Source organism: Homo sapiens, chromosome 15, assembly GCF_000001405.40.
Source record: "Homo sapiens chromosome 15, GRCh38.p14 Primary Assembly".
Taxonomy (NCBI): Eukaryota; Metazoa; Chordata; class Mammalia; order Primates; family Hominidae; genus Homo; species Homo sapiens.
Genome location: NC_000015.10, coordinates 32,347,435 through 32,370,062, shown reverse-complemented (window position 1 = coordinate 32,370,062; position 22,628 = coordinate 32,347,435). Strand labels below are relative to the sequence as shown.

Below are 22,628 nucleotides of genomic sequence, written 5' to 3'. Positions count from 1 at the left end.
ACCAGCATCATTTCAAAGACAAGGCAAATTCTGCTCAGACAGGTCGTAAGTGACCTGCCCAAGGTCACACAGTTGATCAGAATAAAGAACCGGGTCTAAATTTGACTGAGGCCAGGTCTCCTGCTCAGGAGCAAGGTAGGGGGCCCAGTCCTCAGGGAAAGCTCAGGAAGGGGGAGTCTCCAATAGTGGGAAATGATGCTGGAGAAGCAGGGGTGGACCAGAAGCAAGGTCACTAAACAGAATCCACGCAGGAATTCCCTTCTCTCCCTGGTCCACTGGCCACTGTCCTTCTGTCTGCCCAGGATGGCCACTTGGCCCCTGTGACAGTGTCAGTCCCAAGCACTCAGGCCTCTGCAAGTGGCCCCAAGGCTGGGAGCAATGGGTCCAGGAGGAACCATGCTTGGCATGCATATCCCAGCACAGACCCTAGAACATGCCTGGGTCTCGGAGTGCTAGTTAACTGCCTCTGGCCCCCTTTGCTGGGGAGAACAGCCACATTTGGCCTGGGTTGGGTGAGGAGTTGGGGAGCAGGTGACAACCTGGTTGGCTTATCCTTTATCTTATCCTTTTCTTTCTATCATGTAGAGAGCTGTCAGGGCAGAAAGCAGGACTTCAGGTGAGTATCAAAAAGAATGCTCTCAACAGAGAGCCTAGGGATACACCAGGATGGGGAGTGCAGGGGGAAGGGGCCACCATCTCTCCCCCTATTATGAGCCCTCTTATAACAAGCAGAAACAGCATGTCTAGAGGCTCTCTCTTTCCTTAACTCCAAATGCCCAGATGTGCTCAGAGCTCAGCCACAGTTCTTGTACCTAAACTAAAGAGAGACTTGATTGACAATCAAGTTGAGTAGGAGGGAAGGGGAGCTAGGCTGGAGGAGGAAGGTGGGGTGAGACGACCTCACACACTCACCCTCACACTCTCAGTAGTTCTGGGATGTTCTGCTTTGAGGGTCTTTACTCTGCCCATGGTCAGCCCACATGGGAGAATCACAGAAGACCCAGATGCCCTGGAGCTTTGCTCTGTGTGGGTGAACAGGGAATGATCTCCAAGGGAGATAGTGGAAGAATCAGTGTGCAGGGGAGTGAGCATGATACCTGTGTAAAAGGGTGGGGGAGAAGCATATGTATGCTTGTATGCTTCTATATTCACAGCACGGCTCTGGAAAAGTGCATAAGGAATCGATGACATTAGCTGTAGTTGCTTCTGGGGAGCAGAGTTGGGAAAGCAGGAGCTGGAAAATATTTCACTGGGTATCTTTCTGTATCTTTAAAATTTTGAAGCCCATGAAAATCTGCCTGTCTCTTCCACCCTCTGGTACTTCAGAACCCTGGAGCTGGATCCTCAGCCTTGAGAAGGAGAAAACAAATGAGGGGGGTTTGTGTGTTTTTAAATTTATTTAATTTTATTTTATTTTTTACAGACAGCGTCTCACTCCCTTGCTCAGGCTGGAATACAGAGGCGTGATCATAGCTCACTGCAGCCTTCAAACTCCTGGGCCCAAGCAATCCTCCCACCTCAGCCTCCCAAGGAGCTAGGACCACACACATGCATCACCATGCCTGGCTAGTTTTAAAATTTTTTGTAGAGACAGGGTACCACTATGTTGCTCAGGCTGGTCTTGAACTCCTGGCCTCATGCGATCTTGCCGCCTTGACCTCCCAAAGTGCTGGGATTATAGGCATGAGCCACTGCGCCCGGCCAAAAGAGAGAACAAATGAGTGGGTTTGTGTAGCTCACCCGGAAATCGCCTGACCTGCTCCAGGTGGGAGGCATGCTGCAGGGAGAATGCCACCAGGACCTGCCCCCCTCACCCTCAGAGGACACCTGGACTCTCACTTTGCCTCTTCTTCCCTACAAAAAGTCGGGAGACTAGAAGCCCTGTTGTCTCCTCTAGCAGGCTTCTGGGATTCCCTTGGTGTGCCCCCAAATGAGACTGCCTCCAAAATGGGATCCTGATGCCACATCAAAGATGAGTAAGTTCGATCCTCACCCTCACCAAAAGCATATGTGTGTGTGTGTGCACACATGTACACACACTCACCATCAACTGCCACCCCAAATCAATTAAATATGATCTGGGGACTAGGCACTTCTGTGGATTATCCCACTCAGTACTGGCCTCGATTAATGCAGATAATGGAGAGCTGACTGGATACAGCTTACAGTATTTAATCTTTCCCGGCATTGTATTTGCAGAAGCCAAAGTAATGAGATGGAAATAGGTTAACCAGCAAGACACCTGTCGCCGAAGCTCGTAGGCTAAAAAGATCAATACTTAAGGAGAAATGTTTGTCTTTATGTTTTGCACCAGTGCTTCAGTCCAACATTTGGTCCTGGGAGGCTGAGGATAAAGTGTTAATGAATTAATTTTCTAGCTCATTCTGAAAATAAATTACCCATTTCTTTGAGTTCCTTGTGTACCGAGGTCTGATGAGCCTTCTTGGTCAGTCCACGCACACCTCCACTTTGGAGCAAGGTTGTCATTCTGCACACATAGAAGCAGAGTCTGTTCTTGACTGGCCCTGGGGAAGCTAACAACTCCCAGGTTCCTGAGAGTTGGAACGTCCTTCTAGTGTCTAACTTCAATCTCTCCTGCTGCGGCAACACTCATTTTCCTTCTCTTGCATCTATGCTGAGATCAGCAATCCCAGGCCACCTGATGGGCACCTCAGAATCCAATGGCTGAGGATTGAGCCCTTCCTGCATCAATCTTGGGCTGGCCTGTTAGCCTCCCTGCGCTTGTGCAGCTGTGTGTGAGGGTTAAGCATCCCTGCCCTCCCTGCCTTAAGGACTGCTTCCATGATCAAAGGTGAAGTTTCCTGAGTAAGGCTCTGCAAATCTGCAGCACCTCACGCCTGCCTCGGATTATTTCTCTCTGAACCTAGACCCCAGGCATGGATACCCTTAAATCACAGACAAATATTAATAAAACCCAGCCTGTGAGGGCTGAAGGACTCTTACAGACAATGCAGTCCACAGCCTCTTTTCGAAAACAAAGAAATCGAGGCCCCAAAGGGAGGTGGCTTACCTCCATCACACAAACAACACCACTAAATGGTGGCAGAACTGCCTGAGTTGTCAATTCCTGGATTCCAGGCCTTTGTAGCTCCTCAGGCCACCCCACCAAGCCCTGGCTCCATTTGATCCTTGGCTAACTCTTGTAGGGTGTAGGGGTAGCGGTGGTGAGGGGGCAGAGGGATGCCCTGGCCAGGCAGGCCCCTCAGCACACCCTCCGCTCTGCCACCCCAGCCAGGATCAACTTGAAACAGCACAGAGGAGCCCGCCATCCCCGTGGGAGAGAAGCTGGAGTCCAGGCTCCCTGGAGAGGGAGTTAATACTGCAGCACGGCGCACTCTAGCCAAGGCGGAGAAGCTGCTGAGTCACAGTCCAGCTGCCTGGCCAGCCCTGAGCTGCCTGCTGGGGCCCCCAGCTGCTCTCAGCCCAGGGGGCTGCCTCTGGCCCCCAGACAGGCTGCCTTCCCACCTCCTTCTCCAGAGACTCAGCATCTTGGGCCTCCAGGGTTCCCCACTCCCCAGCACCCCACAACATCTCCCAAACCCACAGGCAGCTGTCCTGGGGCGGAGGAGAGGGTCTTCCATTGGTTGAGTGTCAAGATGCTTGGGAGCACGCCAGGAAGGGTGGGGGACCCCGAATGAGTGATTGAGTGGGGACAGATGGAGGCTTGGGGACCAGTGGGCCCTGGGCTGCCTGGTGTAGGATACGGAAAGTGTGTGTGTGTGGGGGTGCACCCGTGGGCCCCAGGAGGTCTGTTGTGCGCATGCTCTGAGTGTGAGGGAGGACGGGTAGGACCGTGGGGGTCTGCCCTGGTCGTGCTCCCAAGAGAGGCACTGCTTTCTGCAGAGCGCGTGGGCAACTGTCAGCTGGGGAAGCGCTCACCAGGGGAAAGGGGAGCTCTCTGTGGCTTAGCAGTGATTAACCCACACAATCAATGGATCCTCCAGCCACAGTGTGAGCAGCTCTGCCTCATGTGAGGCACACAGCACCTTCCAGCACAGTCCCGATATCTTTCATGCCAGATGCACATCTTCAATTTCAGCTACAAACCATTACAAATTGATGCATTTTCTTTCTGACTAAATGTTACAAGGTTTGAACATACTATCTCTGCCGATCACCGCCCCTCTAAGGGATGGGTTTAGAGGTTTGGCACGAAAGCAAAAGCCTTTTAATAGGAGTGCGTGAGTGTGGTGGTGTGTGTGTGATGTGAGTGTGCATATGTGGTGTGTGTACGTGTGTGGTGGGTAGGGGTATACGTGGTGGTGTGTGTGTGTAGGATGTGTGTGCTGTATGTGTAGTGTGTAATGTGGGCTCTAGGGTGTGGGGGACAGTGGGGTGTGTGTATATGGTGTGTGTGTGTGATGTAGGGGGTGGTGTGGGTTAGGGGTGGAGGCTCTAGTGGGGTGTCAGGGGGTATGTGGGTAGTGGTGGGTAGTGGCATATGTGTGGTGTGTACATATGTGTGGTATGGGGGTATAGTGAGTTTGTGTGGGATGTGTGTGTCAGTGCATCTGTGGTGTGTGTAATAAGTGTATGTGTTGTGTGTTGTGTGTAGTGAGGTATGTGTGCAGTGTGTAGTAGGGTGTGTGTGGTGTGTGTGTGGTGTGTGTTGTGTGGTGCATGTAGTGTGTAGTAGGGTGTGTATGTGTGTGGTATGTGTGTGGTGTGTGTCTGTGTGGTGTGTGTGGTGTGTAGTAGGGTGTGTGTGTGGCGTGGACTGGGGGTGTAAGGGGAGGGGGTGTTGCCAGTGTGCGGGGAGGGGGAAGGGAGCAGGGGCAGGAGCCCGGGCTGGGTGGCAGGTGCCCCCGCTCAAGCTGCGGGAGAGTAGCTGGAGAGACCGCAGCCTCCTCCCCAGCCTGGAGGCCCGGCTCCTCCCTTCCTGTGGCCCGGCCAGGAGACCTAGTGGTGCCCCCTGCTGTCCGTCCAGGAGCCTGCCGCCTGCCTCCAGCCCCATCTCCACCCAAGCCAGGCCCATGCCCTCCGCACACAGCCGCACCCCCGCCAGGCTCACTGCCTCCCAGGCCCCCAGTCAACGCTCACACCCTGGAAAGGAGGAGGTGGGCAACCGGTGGGAGGCCGGAGGCAGAAGGAGGCTCCATCAACCCAGTAATGGAGCAGAACATCAGCACTGTGGCATCTGCTAGCCGGCAGCACCGGGGTGGGGGTCCTGTCTCCATCTCTCAGGCCCAGCTGAAATGGGTGACAGCAGCCAGTGCAGGGACGTGGCAGAGAATGCCAGAAAGGCTGTGTATGTGTATGTGGGTGCACGTGAGCGCCATGTGTATGAACACCATGTATGAATGTATAAACATGCATGAACCGGCACTGTGAACATGCATACAAACATTGCGTGCAGGTGCATTACACTGCCACATGTAGAAATGTGAGAAGCCCCAGGGAAGGGAGGGCTGGGGGTCTGGGGCCACAGGACTTGTCCCGGAAGCTGGGGTGATAGCTACAGGCCCTGTACTTGGGTAATGGGAGGGGGTGGACTACGGTGCAGGTCACCTTACAGCCTCGGGGTTGGAAGAGACCACAGGGTCACCAGCCCCCACCCTCCCTCTGCAGCGGCAACTCTTGCCAGACCCTCTGTCTCCAAAGGTGGCAAGAGGTCTGGGACCTGAAAGAGGCATCAGGAGACCTGGTTTCTCTCCACTTCTTTCCATCCTTTGGAAAGTGGCTTTGCATCTCCCAAGATAGCCTCTCAGCTTTCATTTTTTTTTTTTTTTTTTTGAGACAGGGTCTCACTCTGTCACCCAGGCTGGAGAGCAGTGGCGCAATCACAGCTCACTGCAGCCTCGACCCCCACGAGTAGCTGGGACTACAGGCGCACCACCATGCCCGGCTCTTTTTTGTAGAGAAGGTGTCTCGCTATGTTGCCCAGGATGGTCTCAAACTCCTGGGCTCAAGCAATTCACCTGCCTCAGCCTCCCAAAGGGCTGAGATTACAGGCCTGAGCCACCGCATGCGGCCTAGATAGCCTCTCAGCTTTTAGAACCGAGCCTTCCGAGATGCTTGGAGAGTTCTACCTCTGAAGGCGAGCGGGCACAAAGAGTAGTGGGGTCATGAGAGAACTTGGGCTTTAGAACAGCCAGGGCTGCTTTCCAACCTGACACTTAGCAGCTCTGCAGCCCTGGGAGATGAGTTCATTTCCCTGGGATCATTTCTTAGCTACAAACCGAGGATCAGGTGCCTGTCTCACAGGGATGTTATGAGGATTGAAGAGGCCACATGTGCTGGCACAAAGTGGTCCCTAAATAAATACTCATTTCCTTTCCTCAGTTCTCCTCTCAGCGGGGCTAGGCCGAGTCCATGCTGACCATGGACTCAAGGACGGACCTTGTGTTACCCACAACGAGGGGTGCAGTGCTCGCCAAGTCAGGGACTCTGAGCCAGCCCAGGCTCTGTCCAGGAGGGCAAGGGTTGCTGCAGAGGTTGTGCGGCTGGGGAGCCTGAGGCCCAGAATTCTCTTCCCTGGCTCTGTGTGTTCCTCTTGCAGAGACTGCGTCACTTCTTCCTGGTGTCAAAGGTACTTGTATAAGCAGCTCAGCTCCTGGAGGATCACTAAGGCTGTGAGGTGGGAACGTGTCTTGTTCACGACTGCATTTCCTGCCAGCTCCCAGAGGAGCAGCCTGATTGCTGAGCCTGGTAGCAGGCAATGGAGGAGGTGGGGGATCTCAGCAGGCACTGCCCCCCCAACTCTGGCAACCTCTGTCCCATCAAGCTCCCTGCTAAAGGAGAGAAGAGAAACCCCAAAGCCGAAAGAGGCACCCTGTCTAGTTCAGACCCTGACACCCAGGGCCTGAGTGGTCATGGGTGGGGTGTGGACGGGCAGGCGCACTGCCTTGCGGTGCTCCACTATAGGTAGGCAGGCCTGTGGCTCCCCATGGGGAAAGAAGGTCCAGTGCAGCTCAGGTTCTCTGGAGAGTCATGCGCGAAGGAAGGGCATGAAGACCACTTCCCCAGTTAATGAGGGTTTGGCCAGGAGTTGTCTGCCTTACCCAACCTTGAAAATAACCCCTTAGCATGTTTAATTGCTTAAAAATCCACTCTTTCCTCTGATCTTCACTTTCGTTTTCTCCAAATCCTATGTCAGGCTCCGTGCTAAGTGCTGGGAATACAAGAAGAATAAAACCCAACCCCATCCTGAAGCAGCTCACGGGGAGACAACAGAGCTCAGGCCTTTGGGAGGTGCAGCAGATGTGGTTCTGCCCCTTGACAGAGGAGACAGCTAAGGCTCAGAGATCAGCTTGCCCAAGGCCTCCCGGTGCACTTGAACCCTGACTTCCTAGCACTCAGCCCAGGGCTCTTTCCTTCCCAACAAACAACCCCAGGGAGCTCCTGAAGCACACTGGGAAGGTGGGTCTAACGGGAAGACCACAAAGGCACCGGGCTCAGAGGTGGGTGCCGGGGGCAGGGAGGGAGACCTCCACTGTGCCCACTCCGTTCCAGCGGTGTATTTCATTTCATCCGGGCCCTGTGAGGTGGGGACTGTGATTCCCATTTTGTAATTGAGGAAACTGGGCCTCAGGCGGAGAGAAACAGGTCGCTCGCTCACAGCACCCTTTCCCAGAGGACGGAAACAGCTGTACTCCCAGGCAGCAGAGTAGCTCGCTTTGGGCCACACCGGGACCTGGGAGAGGTCATGAGACGTCTGGAGAGCCCAGCCTGCTCTCAGTGGGAGCTGGGAGCCAGCCAAGGAAGGTGCAGTCTGGTCCTCCCGTTTCCAAGAGCGCCTCCGTCCTTCCAGATGCTGGCCAGGCGCCAGGGACAGAGATGTACCCATCACTCTTCAGACAGAGATGCCCATTATCACCAACACCTATGACAGCTCGTGGTCTCCAGAAACTAAAGTGGAGCATGAAAGTCCCGGGGGCACAATTAGGTGCTCCAAAGAAGCCAGCTCTCTCCTGCCTGACCGGGAGCCGGGACAGACATGGGAGGTAGGGGCCAGGAGGGATGAACCATGGCCTCAAAACACCCATGGGCTGGAGGAGGGGAGCAATGAGGGGGAGAATTCCAAATTGGAAAGCCTCAACTTGGAATTCTATGTGGATCCAAACCTAGAAGACAGCTCTGCTGAGGAAGAGGAGCCAAGTGAAACACCAGGTGCAGCCAAGTGGGGTGAATTAGCACCTGGGCTCTGGACAGACTGACCTGGACTGGAGTCTCAGCTCTGTCACTTTTAGCCATGGGAACTTGAGCAGGTTGCTTAACCTCTCTTGGCCTCAGCACTCCATCTGCATAACGGGAATGATAATGGAAGCTGCTGCGCAGTGCTGCGAGGCTTAGGAGCACTGTATGTAAAGCATGGCATTATGTCCATGGCTGGTTCCTGAGCCAGGCTGGGCACAGGCCTGTCAGAAGCACACGGGGATGGCTCCAGTGGAGAGGTGGGGCAGCCTCTCTGCTAACCCCCTATTAAGGGCCAGATTAAGCCACCCCTTTTTAAAATTTCCTGGGATAATTCAGGCCTCTCTTAATCAATGGTCCTCCTTCTACCCATGCCTTTAGCTCCAGCCCAGACGGCCTTCTTGATGCCCACCTCTGGGCCAAGTCCTCTCTTCTGAGCCACTGCACTATCCCTGGCTTCTTTCCTGCCCCTGTGTCCAGATCCTGCCAAGCCTTTCCCCGTCCTCCAGCCCACCTTCCCCAATACTCAGGCCTCTCAGCAGCCATGGCTTCTCCAACCGTGGCTGCTGAGTCTCTATTTTGGTTGCTCTAATTTTCAAGTTCTCATTTGTGGGTATCTGACCACATCCTCCTCTCAGAAGTCAGCAGAGTCTAGCTGTTCTTCCTCTAGCTGCCACTCCCATCCTATAGATGACAACACTGGGATGTGAAGAGGTGAGGTTGCCCAGACTCCCCAAGGATGTCCCAGGCAAAACCTATCCCTAGTGTGGTGGCTCATGCCTGTAATCCCAGCACTTTGGGAGGTTGAGGCCAGCCTGGACAGCACAGTGAAACCCCATCTCTACAAAAAATTTTAAAATTAGCCAGGCATGGTAGTGCATGCCTGTCGTCCCAGCTACTCAGGAGGCTAAGGTGGGAGAATCACTGGAGCCCAGGAGTTTGACATTAGGTGAGACCTAGCCATGCCAGCAGACCAGCCAAGCGGCCATACCCAGCAGGCAGCTTGGAGGGGAGGGGCAGGTGTGTTGCTCAGAAGTGACTCTGGAAGTCACTAGCACAAAAGAATAATCCGCTGGGGAGAGTGTGGGCATAAGAAGAAATCCAGAGATGGGCTTCTAGAAATATCAGCATTTGGAGGATTTGTAGAGAAAGAGGAAAGCCAGGGAGATTGAGGAATGACCAGGAATCGGAGGAAAGCTCTGAAGAACAGAAAATGACTCCATGGCAATAGAGCGGTTACACCGGAGGGGCAGGCAGGGGCTGGGAGGGGACAGGGATCCTTCTGGGGAATTTCTTTGGTGATTATACTGGTGCATATATCCATAAGTTGTGCACTTTGCTGAATCTAAGTTATAACTTCATCAAAAAGAAAAACGAATGTGCAGAGCAGAAAGAGCTAGGGGTGGACCCCTGGCTCCCACACACTCTGGCTTGACCAGGTGCTGGAGGACACCATGGGTAGAGAGAGCATAGACCCTAATAGAGCGCCGTGCATCCCATCGCCAACCGGCTTTCCCATGATGCACAGGCGCTTCTGCTGAGAACCACAGGGCAAAGGCACCTAGAACCAGGGAGCCACTGAGGAAAGGCTTCCTGGAAAAGCAGCAGGGAGCCAAGGTTTAGGAGGAGATGGGGTGGGCTTGGAAGAGGCTGGCCAGTTTCCAGGCAAGAGACGTCCACCTGGGTGGGTGTCTGGCAACCACAGACCATGATGGGACCCCTCACAGCCACCACCCTGGAAAGCGCAGCGATGACAGCTGACTTGGGAAGGTGATGACACGGCAGAACACACCCCGGCTCCAGAGACGCCATCATCTGGGACCCTCTCCACAGAGCCTGACTTAGGGCAGGAGAGCCTCCCTGGTCCAGGACACCAGAGGCCTCAAGGTTTTCCCTCACAGGAGCCTCTTTCCACACCCCCGGCCCCAGCAAACATTTGAGAATGGGCCGTTGCCCTGCCTAGCAGTACACAGGGCTCTGGCCTCCCTGCTCTGGGCCAGAGGAGAGGGGAAATGGAAGTGGGCAGAGGACTGTCCCTTCATATGACCACTGGTGACAAACACTGTGTCCTGCAGAGCACGGCCCAGGATGAAGCACCTCCACCCACACACATGGCATTCGGCAGCTGCAGGGCCCAGCCCTGCACCATTTCTGAAGGTCCACACATAGCACATATCACAGCTGAGGAAACTGACAGCCAGAGAGAGGAAGGGACTTGTCCGAAGTGACAGAGTAAGAAGCCTGCCTTACTGTGCTCTTCCAAGCTGGCTTGGAATCCAGTGCTCTTCCAAGTGCTCTTCCAAGCTTGGAATCCAGTGCTCTTCCAAATCATCCAGTGCTCTTCCAAACTGGCAAAATCCTGAGCCTCGGAGAGGCTTACTGAGCTCCCTGCCTACCAAAGCCAGCATGGGTGAGCATCTGTGGCTCTCTGGAACCGCAGGGAGTTCCAGTCACCCTGCTGATGACCCCTGCTTGGAGCTATAACTATAAGTGGAATACCTGGGGTGGCTCCTATTAGACCCTGACTCCCTGGAGCTGGCAACAGAGAACCAGCATGTAACGGTCCCCACAGACGGAGCTAGCCTGCATCAGGGTTTCTAATGTTCTGCTGCAGGTTCACTTCGCACTTGAGAAGGAGGAACGACTTCAGTTTTTTTCTAGCAGCTTCTTGGCTCTTCCCAGTGGCCCCTCCCCCAAGCAAAGTCCCCTGAGAGGAAAAAATCACACCACATCTTTGTGGATCAGTGGTGCCTCTGCCCCCACCCAAGACACCGGGCATGTTTCCTCATGAAGAGTGACTTGCGGCTCCTTCGCAGCACTGAGGGCTGGAGCCAGAAGAAGGATGAACCCACTGCGGGGGTCTTCTCTCTTCATGTTGGAAAACAGATTTAGGCTCAAAATGAAGGAGGGTTTTTGCACAGTCAGCACCACCCATTGATGAGTTCGTGGTCCCAGGAGGTAATGAGTGCTCCATCATCGGGAGCATTCAAGCTGAGGTTAGCCCACTATTGGGAGGGATATTATAGACAGGACTCAGGTAAGGGGACACAGCATTGACCTAGATGAAATTTGAGGTCCCCCTTCCAACCCTGAGAGCCTCTAAATCTCTGACATCTCCATCCCAGCCCTTGCTGCCAATTGGCCTCATTTGCCTGGCCCTGCTGGTTTGCCAGGCAGTTTGTCCTCAGAGAGAAGTAGCTGCCAATTATGTGGGGACCACAAGAGTTTCCTTTATGACATCACCACTCTGCAGGAAGGGGCTGAGGTGGGGTAAGAGAGGAGAAACAAGACAGAAGGTGGTACCAGAGAAGGAGTCAGCTCCCCAGGGCCTGGAATCTGCAGTGTTGCCACCACTAGGTAATTTGTGGGGCACACTGCTGTGGGGGTCTCAGGAAGCCAAGTCTGGGCCCCGAAGGGAAATAGCCCAGTTCTGGCCTCCTGACTGGGGTGGGGGACTGTCAAGGGAAAAATAAGCCCAGGCTAGCTCTCTGAGGCTCATTAGAGAAAAAGGTAAATGTCGAAGACGTGTCATGGCAGGCAGCTCATTAAGCCCACGGAGCTTAAAAATAGTGAGACACACAGATATTGGGGGATGGGGAGCTGGGGATGAGACGCCGGCTCATCACACTGCAGGGAAGAACAGCAAACCTGGGAGAAAGTGACTCTATAACCAGTGGAAGAAAGGCTGTGTAGCCATCACCGGATCTCTGGGTAAGCTTGGCGCACAGGGCTGCTGGAAATGTCAGACCCTGTTCTGTCGATGAGAAGACTAAGCCCAGAGGAGGGTGTTCCCAGGCATTACCCAACAGGCTCGACTGTTCTCCATGCAGGGGAAGAGAGAAGACACAGAGACACAGACCTGCCCCGGAGGAATCCAGAGCCCACCTGCCCAGAGAGGCTCCACCTGATTTCCCTGGCTCTGGGCACCCCCTTAAAAGCCCTTTATGCCATCTTTCCTTTCAGTCGAGTGATGCAGGATTTGGGACCAGACAGCCTTTGCTCAAATCCTTCCACAGTTATCTACCAGCTTGGTGGCCTTGGAGAAGTTATTTCCCTGTTCTGGATGTGCTTCCTCTTCTATAAACTAGAGACACTACAAATTCCCACCACAGAGGGGTAAATGCAGCATCCTGTACGTTATGTGTTTGGCACAGGACCTGGGATGCAGGAGGCACTCTGACCGGTGGCATCCAGAAAGTAAGGAATATGGACTAAAGGGAGGGCCAAGGAAAAGTTTACAGGCTGTGGCTGTGCAGTTGGAAGATGCAGAAGCGCCTCGCTTGGTGCTGCCAGGTTAGGTTTGCAGAATGCAGTGAATGCTCTTGCTGACAAAGGATGGGGATAAGTGAACTGGGGAATCATGACCTAGGGGAAGCCACTAGCTCAAATACTGATCCCTATTTAAGTCACCAAAATATGCTGGGCACCCAGTGGGTGCCCAGCGCTTTCCCATAAGTGATCCCAAACCAGGAGCTAGTCCAAGCCTCCAAAAGTGGCTGGGTAGTTCATTGGAATGAGGGCTGCAGTGACTCCAGAGGGAGCAGGACTCCAGAGGAGCAGGACTCAAGAGAAGGGGAGCCAGGGAAGACTGAGGGGATGTGTAGGTGAGGTGGCTCTTTTCTGGCTGAGAGAAGAGAAGGTCCCCAGCCCACACCAAGGGCTCCATAATGGAAGGGAGGCCTAGGGTGGGTCCTCCCCCTCCCCATCTTCATCCCACTCAGCCCCTACCTGGCCTTTAACACACTGGGTGGGAGAAGTGTTGCTGAGCACAGCAGTGACCTGAGGCCCTGGGCACCCATCCCAGTTTAGCTCCACAGGGGACTCCAGTTGCTGAGGAAGAATATAGAACTTATATAGGATGGGGGAGCTGGAAGGAAACTTAGGATCAATTGTTCCAGCCTCTAATTGAATGGTGGGGAAACCCAGAGACAGAGAAAGGAAATTACTACCCCTTCCAAGCCAGTGAGAGAGCCAGATCTAGAATCCAGGGCTCTTTCCATGATATTGCACCTCCCATCTCAGTCCTGTCTTTATGAAATGCCATATTGAAGCTTTATGTATTGGGGAAATTTAACTGAGGCTCAAACGGACACAAATTCCCTAAAGCCACATGGTGAGTCAGACAGCGAAATGCAAGGTGTCTGGTCCTTTCCCAGCATCCAACGAACGTTTCTTGGGCACCTACTACAGTCAGGCTGGGAGCACTTTCAGACGTTCTCTCACTTAAATCTCACATGTAGGAGCAAGTTGCTGGAAGAGCGAAGGGCCAGAGGCCAGGGTCCAAATCCTGGCTCTCTTAGCTGAGTCTCCTTGGACAAATCCCTTGATGTCCCTCAAATGATGCCTCCATTTCTTCACTTTATAAGAAGTGGATTCATAATAGTACCTACCTTGTAGAGTATTATGATAATTAAAGGAGACTATCCATATGAAATACTTAGAACAGAGCCTAGTAATATAAATATACCATTTAAAAATAAGTATACTGGCTGAGTGTGGTGGGTCACACCTGTAATTCCAGCACTTTGGGAGGCCCAGGCGGATGGATCACCTGATGTCAGGAGTTCGAGACCAGACTGACCAACACGGAGAAACCCCGTCTCTACTAAAAATACAAAATTAGCTGGGTGTGGTGGTGCATGCCTGTAACCCCAGCTACTTGGGAGGCTGAGGCAGGAGAATCACTTGAACCCAGGAGGCAGAGGTTGCAGTGAGCCGAGATTGTGCCATTGCACTCCAGCCTGGGCAACAAGAGTGAAACTCCATCTCAAAAAAAAAAAAAAAAAAAGTATACCATTTGACAATCCTAGGCATATACCCAAGAGAAATGAAAACACGTATCCTTACGAAAACCCTTCCACAAATGTTGATAGCGGCATTATTCAGAGTAGCTGAAAAGTGGAATCAACCAAATGTCCATCAACTGATGAATGGAGAAATAAAACGCAGTATATCCACACAATGGAATGTTATTTGGCAATAAAAAGAAATAAAGTACCGATACATGCTTCAATGTGGCTAAACCTTGAAAGCATTATGTGAGTGAAGGAAGCCAGGCACCAAAGACCATGTGTTATATAATTCCATCTAAATAAAATATCCAGAAGGTGCAATTTCATAGAGACAGAAAGTAGATGATTAGTTGGCTAAGGCTGGGAGGAATGGAAGAATCGAGGGTGACTGTTAATATGTATGGAGTTCCTTTTTAGGGGTGAAAAAACGTTCTGAAATTAGATCGTGGTGATGGTTGTGCAATTCTGTGAATATATTAAAAGCTATTGAATCGTGCCCTTAAATGGGTGAATTGTATAGTATGTGAATTATAGCTCAATAAAGCTGTTTTCAAAAAGTAAATATATATTTATAAACTTCTATAAGATAGTAAATCATATCCATTCCAATTTAATGATAAGGCTCAGAGCCAGTCAGCAACTTGCCCAAAGTCCCATGCCTAGGAGGCCGCAGGACCTGATTTTGGACTTTGTGTTGTCGAACTCCTGAAGCTCCTAAGACCTGATCCAGTTCAGACTCATGGAGAGCAGGCCTGCCCTTATGTATCTTGGGGAAAGCCTCCATTCCCTGTCCCAATGAGGCCACTCAGGAAGTTCTCCCCGCTCTCTAATCCAAACCCATACAACTTACAAGGGATGATATTCAGGGGGATATGAGGTCAGGAGCAGGGTCACAGGAGACAGGCACCAGAAGGGAAAGCTACATTTCTAGGCAATGCTGGATATCTTCTTTAGGGAAGCCTGGGGAATGGGGCAGATGAAGTATAGTGGACTTCAAGACATGAGCTCACGGTTGATTTTGGGGGTGACCTTGGCCAAGAAACCTCATCTCTGGGGCTCTTGGTAAAATGATATTCAGGAAGAAGCTCTGAGGACAGCTCCAGAAGCAGACATTTCTAAGGCTATTTATAAAGTGGCCTTCCCTCTCCTTACACACAACTCACCCCAGATGATCAGGTGGGAAGTCTGTAGGGCAGTGGGCATCACTTGGTTGCTTGCTTGGGTATATACAACCTGGTCACCCCCATGGTTCTTGGCAGAAGATATTGGGGCCAAACCAAGAGGCCCTAACCTAACCATCACTCCAATACTGTGAGCAGGTCAGGTTGGCTCTCCCTCCCAGCCAGGAAGGAGGAAAGAGAAGGAAGCGACAAGGGCACTAACAACCAGGGTCCTTGTCTTACCTGGCAGGAAAGATGCTGAATGTGATATTGACTCAATGTGCTGCTTCTGATCAGCCCCCTGCCTGCCTCCCTGCACAGTGGATAGTCTGGCTGCAAGTGGTAGGGGGAAGGAGCTCCCACTTTTGACAACCCAGGAAAGGCATCACCTCAGTTTGTCTGGAGCTCATGGCCAGGGTGTCCCAGCTTGAAGGAGAGGTTCTCCTGCCCCCTTCTCTGCTTGTACAACTATACACTGCATTCAGAAACACTCCTTCTCCCTTGCTAAGGAGCATTAGGAGATACAAAACCACCATCCTTTTTCCAGGTGAAATAAGGAAGAACAGAAAATGAGGAGGGCCAGATTCAGCCCAGAGCCACCCAGAGTCCAAGTGGCCTCACTGGGAGAGCAGTACACTGGGTTTGGTGCCCTTGGTAGAAAGCCCAACATGCCAGGACCTCAGCCAGCAAGCCAGCATGTGCTCCAGAGCAGGGACAGGGAGAGGCCAACCTGTGCATCCGCTAGGCTCACTGGCTATTTCAGACCATCATCTGCCTCATTCGATCCCAGGACATCTTGGGAGAAGTGAGGAAGGCAGGCATCCCTCTCCACATTTTTTAATGGGGACCACTGAGGTCCAAGAGATAGGGAAAAACCGCTTGCCTGGGGCCATGTGCAGTAACTTAATAGTGGGTTCACTGGATTCTAGATTCTTCTCATCAAAGCCAATCATACCCCTGCCTCGCCCCACTCCCAGCTCTGCTGCTATGTTTCTTTACCTACAAAACGTCAGTCAGTTTTCAGAAACACCATAATAACACTCTTTATAGCACTTTATGGCAAAATCTTTATAGCACCGTGTGTCAGGCACTGCCTATTCTTAGAGCTATATGTAAATAGTCATACATCAAATCCTCATGCCAACCTGATGGCAAGCTATTTCATTTCCATTTTACAGATGAGGAAACTGAGGTAACAAGTGTTTAAGTAACTTAGCCAAAGTCCCACAGATAAAAAACTGGAGGAGCTGGCATTTGAATACAGGCAACCTAGCCCTAGCATCTGAGGTTTAACCACTGCACCACAGTGCCAAGCACATACAAGTACAAGGCTTCGCATATTCCAAGTCTCACTAAAACATGGACTAGGGGCTGGGCATGGTGGTTCACGCCTGTAATCCCAGCACTTTTTGAAGGCTGAGGTAGGAGGATTGCTTGAGCCCAGGAGTTCGAGCCCAGCCTGGGCAACATGGTGAAACCCTGTCTCTACCAAAACAACAACAACAACAAAACAAAAACAAAAACAAAGAAAAACCTTGCAAAACAAAAATTATCCAGGCACGGTGGTGCATACCTGTAGTCCCCGCTATGTGGGATGCTGAGGTGGGAGGATCACCTGAGCCTCGGGAGGTTGAGGCTGCAGTGAGCCGTGATCACACCACTGCACTTCAGCCTGGGTGACAGAGTGAGACCCTGTCTTAAAAAACCTGAAAACCAAAACCAAAACCATGGACTAGGGGCACACGACTAGGCTCAGGACGAAGTGTGTGTGCAGGAAGTCCACATAAGTCCAGAAGCTGGGCTGTGCTCTCACCCAGGTGCCATGTGCTGGGGGCGGGGATGGGGGACAGGCTGCAATTTGTCTCTGAGCAGCCAGCTGCCCTCAAGTCCCAGCCCAGCCGAGCAGTGGGGAGCAGGTTGAAGGCAGGCTTGGAGCTGGCAGGCTCCGTCTGCCCCACTGTGAGCAGCAGCTTTGAGACACTCTCCTGCCGGCTGCTGGTAGGTGCTGCAGTATCTCTCCTGGCTGCAGGGCTGGCTGGGCTGAGGCCAGGCCAAGGGCCTTCCTTCCCCCTTTCACCCTCTGCCCCTCCCTCAGTGCCCGGGGCCAAACGAAGGGCTTAGGAAGCTACTCTGGCTTTCTGGTCTCCAAGGACTGCCGGCCCTGATGATTAATTTGGTGGCTGTGGGACTAGGTTTAGTCTTGGGTGGCAGCACTGACCTCCAGGAATGTCACTGTGGCCCCTTCAGGGGCAGGTAACAAACCTGGCTCATTCCCAAGAGAGTAAGTGAGTCCGGTGGATCAACTCCCACGGTTTTCCACCTAGCATATTTGCCAACAGCGGGCAATTCCCAGGTAGGAAGTCCTTCCTTGTACCTCACATGAGCCCTTCCTGCTGCAGTATAGCCACATTACCTTCTACTAGAAACCCTTCTGCTTCCAAATGCACCCTTTGTTAAATTGCTAAGATGTGATTCCATGAGCAACACAGCAATCACAAAAGCCATTGAAGCAGACGGCAGCTGCTACAGGGTTCAAGCATTCCATTCCAGCTGGGGAAAGGCTGTGGGCTTTGCCCCTCCTTCCCCCCCAGCCCCTCCCCAATCTCAGGACACAGAGAAAAGAGGAGCAACATGCGGAGAAGAAAAATGGAAAGGTAACAAAGCAAAGGCAGAAAAAAAATTCACAGCCTCCCTTGACCTGCCAAGGACTTCTTCCACATCTTTCCCTAGGCTTGGGGGCCCAGATAAGGAACTGAGACTTTCTTTTTTTTTTTTTAAATTTTATTATTATACTTTAAGTTTTAGGGTACATGTGCACAATGTGCAGGTTTGTTACATATGTATACATGTGCCATGTTGGTGTGCTGCACCCATTAACTCATCATTTAGCATTAGGTATATCTCCTAATGCTATCCCTCCCCCTCCCCCCACCCCACAACAGTCCCCGGTGTGTGATGTTCCCCTTCCTGTGTCCATGTGTTCTCATTGTTCAATTCCCACCTATGAGTGAGAACATGCAGTGTTTGTTTTTTTGTCCTTGAGATAGTTTGCTGAGAATGATGGTTTCCAATTTCATCCATGTCCCTACAAAGGACATGAACTAATCACTTTTTATGGCTGCATAGTATTCCATGGTGTATATGTGCCACATTTTCTTCATCCAGTCTATCGTTGTTGGACATTTGGGTTGGTTCCAAGTCTTTGCTATTGTGAATATTGCCGCTATAAACATACGTGTGCATGTGTCTTTATAGCAGCATGATTTATAATCCTTTGGGTATATACACAGCCTTTCTTGCAGCTTCTGCAGCCTCTGCCTGAGAGATCCGCTCAATGGGCCATCTGCTCGGAGGCCTTTCTGCAAAAGCTTTAAGAGTTCCATTTCTCCAGGGAGCTGGAAGCTGGGGAGGTGTCAGCTCCAAACAATAAGGGAAGTTTATTAGGGATCAGGGTTTCCAGGAGGATGGTGCCTGCTAATGGGGCTGGATGCACTCTGAGGTACAAAGGGTTATTTAATGCGGAAAATCCAAAAGCTCCTTTAGAAGTCAAGTGCTCACACCCGAGGCCCTACACACTGCAGCCTTCCTTTTCACTCAAAAAACCTGAAAACCAAAACCAAAAACCATGGACTAGGGGCACACGAGTCAGCTCAGGACTGCCAACAGCGGGCAATTCCCTGGTAGGAAGTCCTTCCTTGCACCTCACATGAGCCCTTCCTGCTGCAGTATAGCCACATTACCATCTACTAGAAACCCTTCTGCTTCCAAATGCACCCTTTGTTAAATTGCTAAGTTGTGATTCCATGAGCAACACGGCAATGACAAAAGCCCCATCACCCTACCCTGTTTGCCCCTACCCCGCCCCATCCCAAGTCACACTTATTCCCTGTCCTTTGCTACTGGGCAAATATTGACTTTCTTTCACTCAGCCTTGTCAATGGAAGTGAGACCAATGGGGCTGGCTATTGTCTCCCTCCTCTCTCCTGTCAGAGGGCAAAGCAAGCTGTCAGCCTCAACAGCGGGAGCAGGGCCAACTGAGACAAGCTGAGAAAGAAAAGTGTGGTCTTGGAAGTAATATTTCTGTCTTTTGGTCTTTTGTCTTTCTGTCCTCCCTCCCTTCCCCAAGCCCATCTGGGTTTATTTTTTTCACATTTGGCTATCCTGCTGCCCTGTCTGGCTCAAGAGCAGCAGCGTGGCATAGCTGGCATAACTGAGAGAGCTCAGGCCTGGGAATTCAAGTGTCTGATACTGGGTCACCTTATGCTAGTTCTTTAATTTTCTTGGGCTTCCATGTTCTAGTCTGCAAAATGGGAAGGTTGGACCCCATGATCTCAGTATCTAGATCAGGAAGTTCCTTCCTATCAGGACCCATGTCCTTTCTGCTGCAGTCAAGGCATTTTACCTTGTGCTCTGATTTCAGAAAAAATGGAAAATAACTGCTTGGTGCTTAACAGGGAGGAAGGAAAGAGCGTTGCATTGAGGTTCTACAAGGGCTGGCAAGCTCCATCGCTGGTACTAACATGCTGTGTGATCCTGGGCAAGGAGCTCCCCCTCTCTAAGCCTCAGTTTCCCCATAATCAAAACAGAGGGCTGGATGAGATGATCCCACAGCCCCTTTCAGTGCCTCGTCCTGCCGTGGCACTCATCTAACACATCCCTGCGGAAGGCGATGTCCCCCGCTCCTTCAGCTTTTCTCCAAGGCAGCATCTCACAGCCTTTCCTCATGACTAACCTTGAATGGAGGGATGCCATGCCGCTGGCTCGTGTTCCTTCATCATCAGGAGCCTTTTGTCAGCCACACTCCTCTCAGACTCATGCTTGCTTGGCCTTTGGCCTTTGTGGCTGAGCTCTTCCTTTCTCCAGGTCCCATGATGAAGACCAGAGCATGCAAACTCCTGGAGCCTGCGGCCAGTGCACAGCAGGAGGACGACACAGGACATTGGGGCATTTTGGGGGATTGTGTGCATGGTGACAACTGCAGGACTGTGAACTGTATCCCTGCTCTTCCTCTAACTTGAGCCCTCTCTGTGATAACACAGAACCTCAAAAACCCATTCCTTGTGCATTAGTCAGTATCACACTATGGACTTCCTATTCCAGGTTGGCAATATTCCCTTTTCACAGATGAGACAATTGAGGCTCAGAGAGGTTGGTAATTTGCCTGAATTCACACAGATATTAAGGAGCGAGCCAAGATGGGAACCTAGATGTATCTATCTGCAAAGACTTTGCTCTTAACCATCAGCGCTCTTACTGAGAAGGGGAGGTCATCGCCTCTCCCCAAGCTGACTTACAGGACTGGAATCACAGGGCAGTGAACACCCAAAGCCTGAATGACTCCAACAAACCTCCCACCCCCTCCACCCCCACCCAGCCTCGGCAAAAGCAGAGCCAGCAGGGTCGTGGATCAACAAAGCCAGAAGGACTTTGGGTCATCTAAACCAAGCTTTCACTTCACATACAAGAAAACTGAGGTCCACAGTGGCGTGCGACTTGCCTAAGGTCACACAGCAAGTCTAGGGTAAACCTCGGTCCCGGCCATGGGGTCCTGGGAGTCCCCCTCCAGGTTGAGCCAGTCCCTTTGCCACTCCTTCCACCTGGGTGTAGACATGCCTTCAGCCACTCACTCCAGGGACATCTGGCCTTACCCCTCTCTGCTTCTCAGTTGGTCCCTTCCTAGAAGGTTCGGGGAATGGAGTAAAAGGCCCATTTTATCATAACCAGAGGTGTGGCAGAGAGTGGGGAAGGGAGAACCAAAGGAAAACAGGTGTGAGATTATTGGAAAGTCAAGCAGTCTCTCTGTTTCCCATGAAGTTTCTAATGCAGAATGGTCCTAATGATCAGAGAGAGAGAGAGAGAGAGACAGAGAGATAGTGCTGATGTTCCCATTTTGTAGGGAAGCTTTGAAGATGGTAGGGGAAGATCACACTGCAAATCTACAATCTTTCCCTGCTCCCCATGGCCACTGCTCACAGCTGCCCTGCCACCTGCTTGCTACACAGCTTGTATTATTATTGACAATAGCTACCACTCACTAAGGACTTAGCTCAGTACTGGACCAAGTATTTACATATGCTTCTTGTTTAATCCTCATAAAAACCCTAAAATACCACCACTATTCTCATTTTGTTTTGACTACTTAGTAACTGAAGCTCTAAGATATAAAGTAATTTGCTCAAGGTCACACAGCTAATAACCAGTAGAGCCAAGGTCTCCTGGGGACTCCCTCCAGGGGTGTGCTGGGCTTTGAAATTCATATACTGTATTTGTCTCAAGTTGTCTTGACTCTGGTGACAGAAGTGGGAGGGCAATGCATTGGGAATTCCTGGAGACCACCTGCTCCCATCACCCAGCCAAGCCCACTTCCTGCTACTCAGACACCAGCCCAGAACTGCAGCCACAGAATTGTGGGGTTGCAAGGGCCTGAGAAGTTAACTAGTTCTACCTTCTCAATGTACAGGGGAGGAAAGCAAGAAAGGGCCTTGCCCAAGGTCACACAAGGTCACAAAATTGGAGGCAGAGCCTGTAAATTAAACTCAGCTCTCTTGTCTCAAACTCGGACTCGTCCGCAACACCCTAATGCCCAGTATGAAGTTACTGTCTCATCTCAACTGAAGACAGAACCAGAGTTCATCCCAAAAAGGAGTTAGATTAGACTTTCCTATGGCAAGGACTGTCACATTGCACAGTGGGGTGCTCTAGGCTATTGTAGTGGAGATCTTTCTAAAACGAGACAATTCCTTCAGATCTTCCTTATCTGAGATGAATGCAGCCCTGTCTGGAGGTAGAGAGCAGACAGCATGACCTTGTGAGGTCCTTGACATCACCCTTTAACCTATGGTCATCTGTCTGTCACAGCGAACCTTTCCCTAGGAAAGAATCTGCCCTCTGCAAAGAGGATGTGTAATGCTGGAAAGCCCGCCTTTCTCCCCATCAGCTGGATTCTGAGAGTTGGGAGAGATGACCAATGAACAGGCTGAGGGTGTCACAGCCCTGCTACTTTGGGATGGGGGGTGCAGTAGGGGAGCTACAGTCTTCCCAGAGGCCAGGTCATTCTACCCAGCTGCACCCCATCCCCAACCTTTCAGTGGGCGACACCTGCAGGGTGTTGGGACTGGGAGAAACCTCAGATACCTTAAATTCCAAACCCCATTTTCCAGATGAAGATACTGAGGCCCAGAGTGGGTCAGTGAGTTGCCCAAGGTCATAGGACAGGTCAGAATGGAAGCTTTCCGACTCTCCCCGGGGCGCTGGGTTCACAGCTCCACCTTGCCACCCCCTGCCCCGGAAGTGAGCACTGAAGTCACTTAAGAGAGGCCAGTGACCAAAGGCAGCGATTCCCAGGTGCAGAGGCTGGGGCAGACGTGCCCATGAGCTTGTTCCCCCGCGCACCCTCCCCCACCTCGTCCCCATTCCTGTCTTGGTTACCATGTGCCTCCATCATCCTGAGATTCAGAGAGGTGCAGCGGCTTGTCGAAGGTCACACAGCACACTGAGTAGGGCCCTCGTTTCCACTGCCCAG

The 22,628-nt window shown here is 51.9% G+C and overlaps 2 long non-coding RNA genes across 3 annotated transcripts, besides 2 other annotated features; one reads left to right on the top strand and one right to left on the bottom strand.

Moving 5' to 3' along the window:
• Positions 1 to 1,694: 1,694 nt before the first annotated feature.
• LOC112268159 (uncharacterized) lies at positions 1,695 to 11,340 on the bottom strand. The gene is made up of 3 exons (XR_002957746.2): positions 10,405 to 11,340; positions 2,425 to 2,488; positions 1,695 to 2,344 (listed from the first exon to the last, which is right to left on the bottom strand). It is a non-coding gene; the product is annotated as an uncharacterized LOC112268159 (long non-coding RNA).
• Positions 11,341 to 11,431: 91 nt separating this feature from the next.
• LOC105376709 (uncharacterized) lies at positions 11,432 to 13,712 on the top strand. Of its 2 annotated transcripts, XR_007064572.1 has the most exons (4): positions 11,432 to 11,511; positions 11,788 to 11,865; positions 11,985 to 12,447; positions 13,676 to 13,712. It is a non-coding gene; the product is annotated as an uncharacterized LOC105376709 (long non-coding RNA). The 2 variants fall into 2 exon arrangements; XR_932069.4 differs by having other exon boundaries at positions 11,985 to 13,692.
• Positions 16,481 to 17,026: an enhancer, noted in NCBI's record as "H3K4me1 hESC enhancer chr15:32645238-32645783 (GRCh37/hg19 assembly coordinates)". NCBI's record gives its function as "activates a minimal SCP1, AML or CMV promoter by ChIP-STARR-seq in naive H9 embryonic stem cells {active_cell/tissue: H9 hESC(naive)}" and the evidence as "EXISTENCE:reporter gene assay evidence [ECO:0000049][PMID:30033119]".
• Positions 17,027 to 17,573: an enhancer, noted in NCBI's record as "H3K4me1 hESC enhancer chr15:32644691-32645237 (GRCh37/hg19 assembly coordinates)". NCBI's record gives its function as "activates a minimal SCP1, AML or CMV promoter by ChIP-STARR-seq in naive H9 embryonic stem cells {active_cell/tissue: H9 hESC(naive)}" and the evidence as "EXISTENCE:reporter gene assay evidence [ECO:0000049][PMID:30033119]".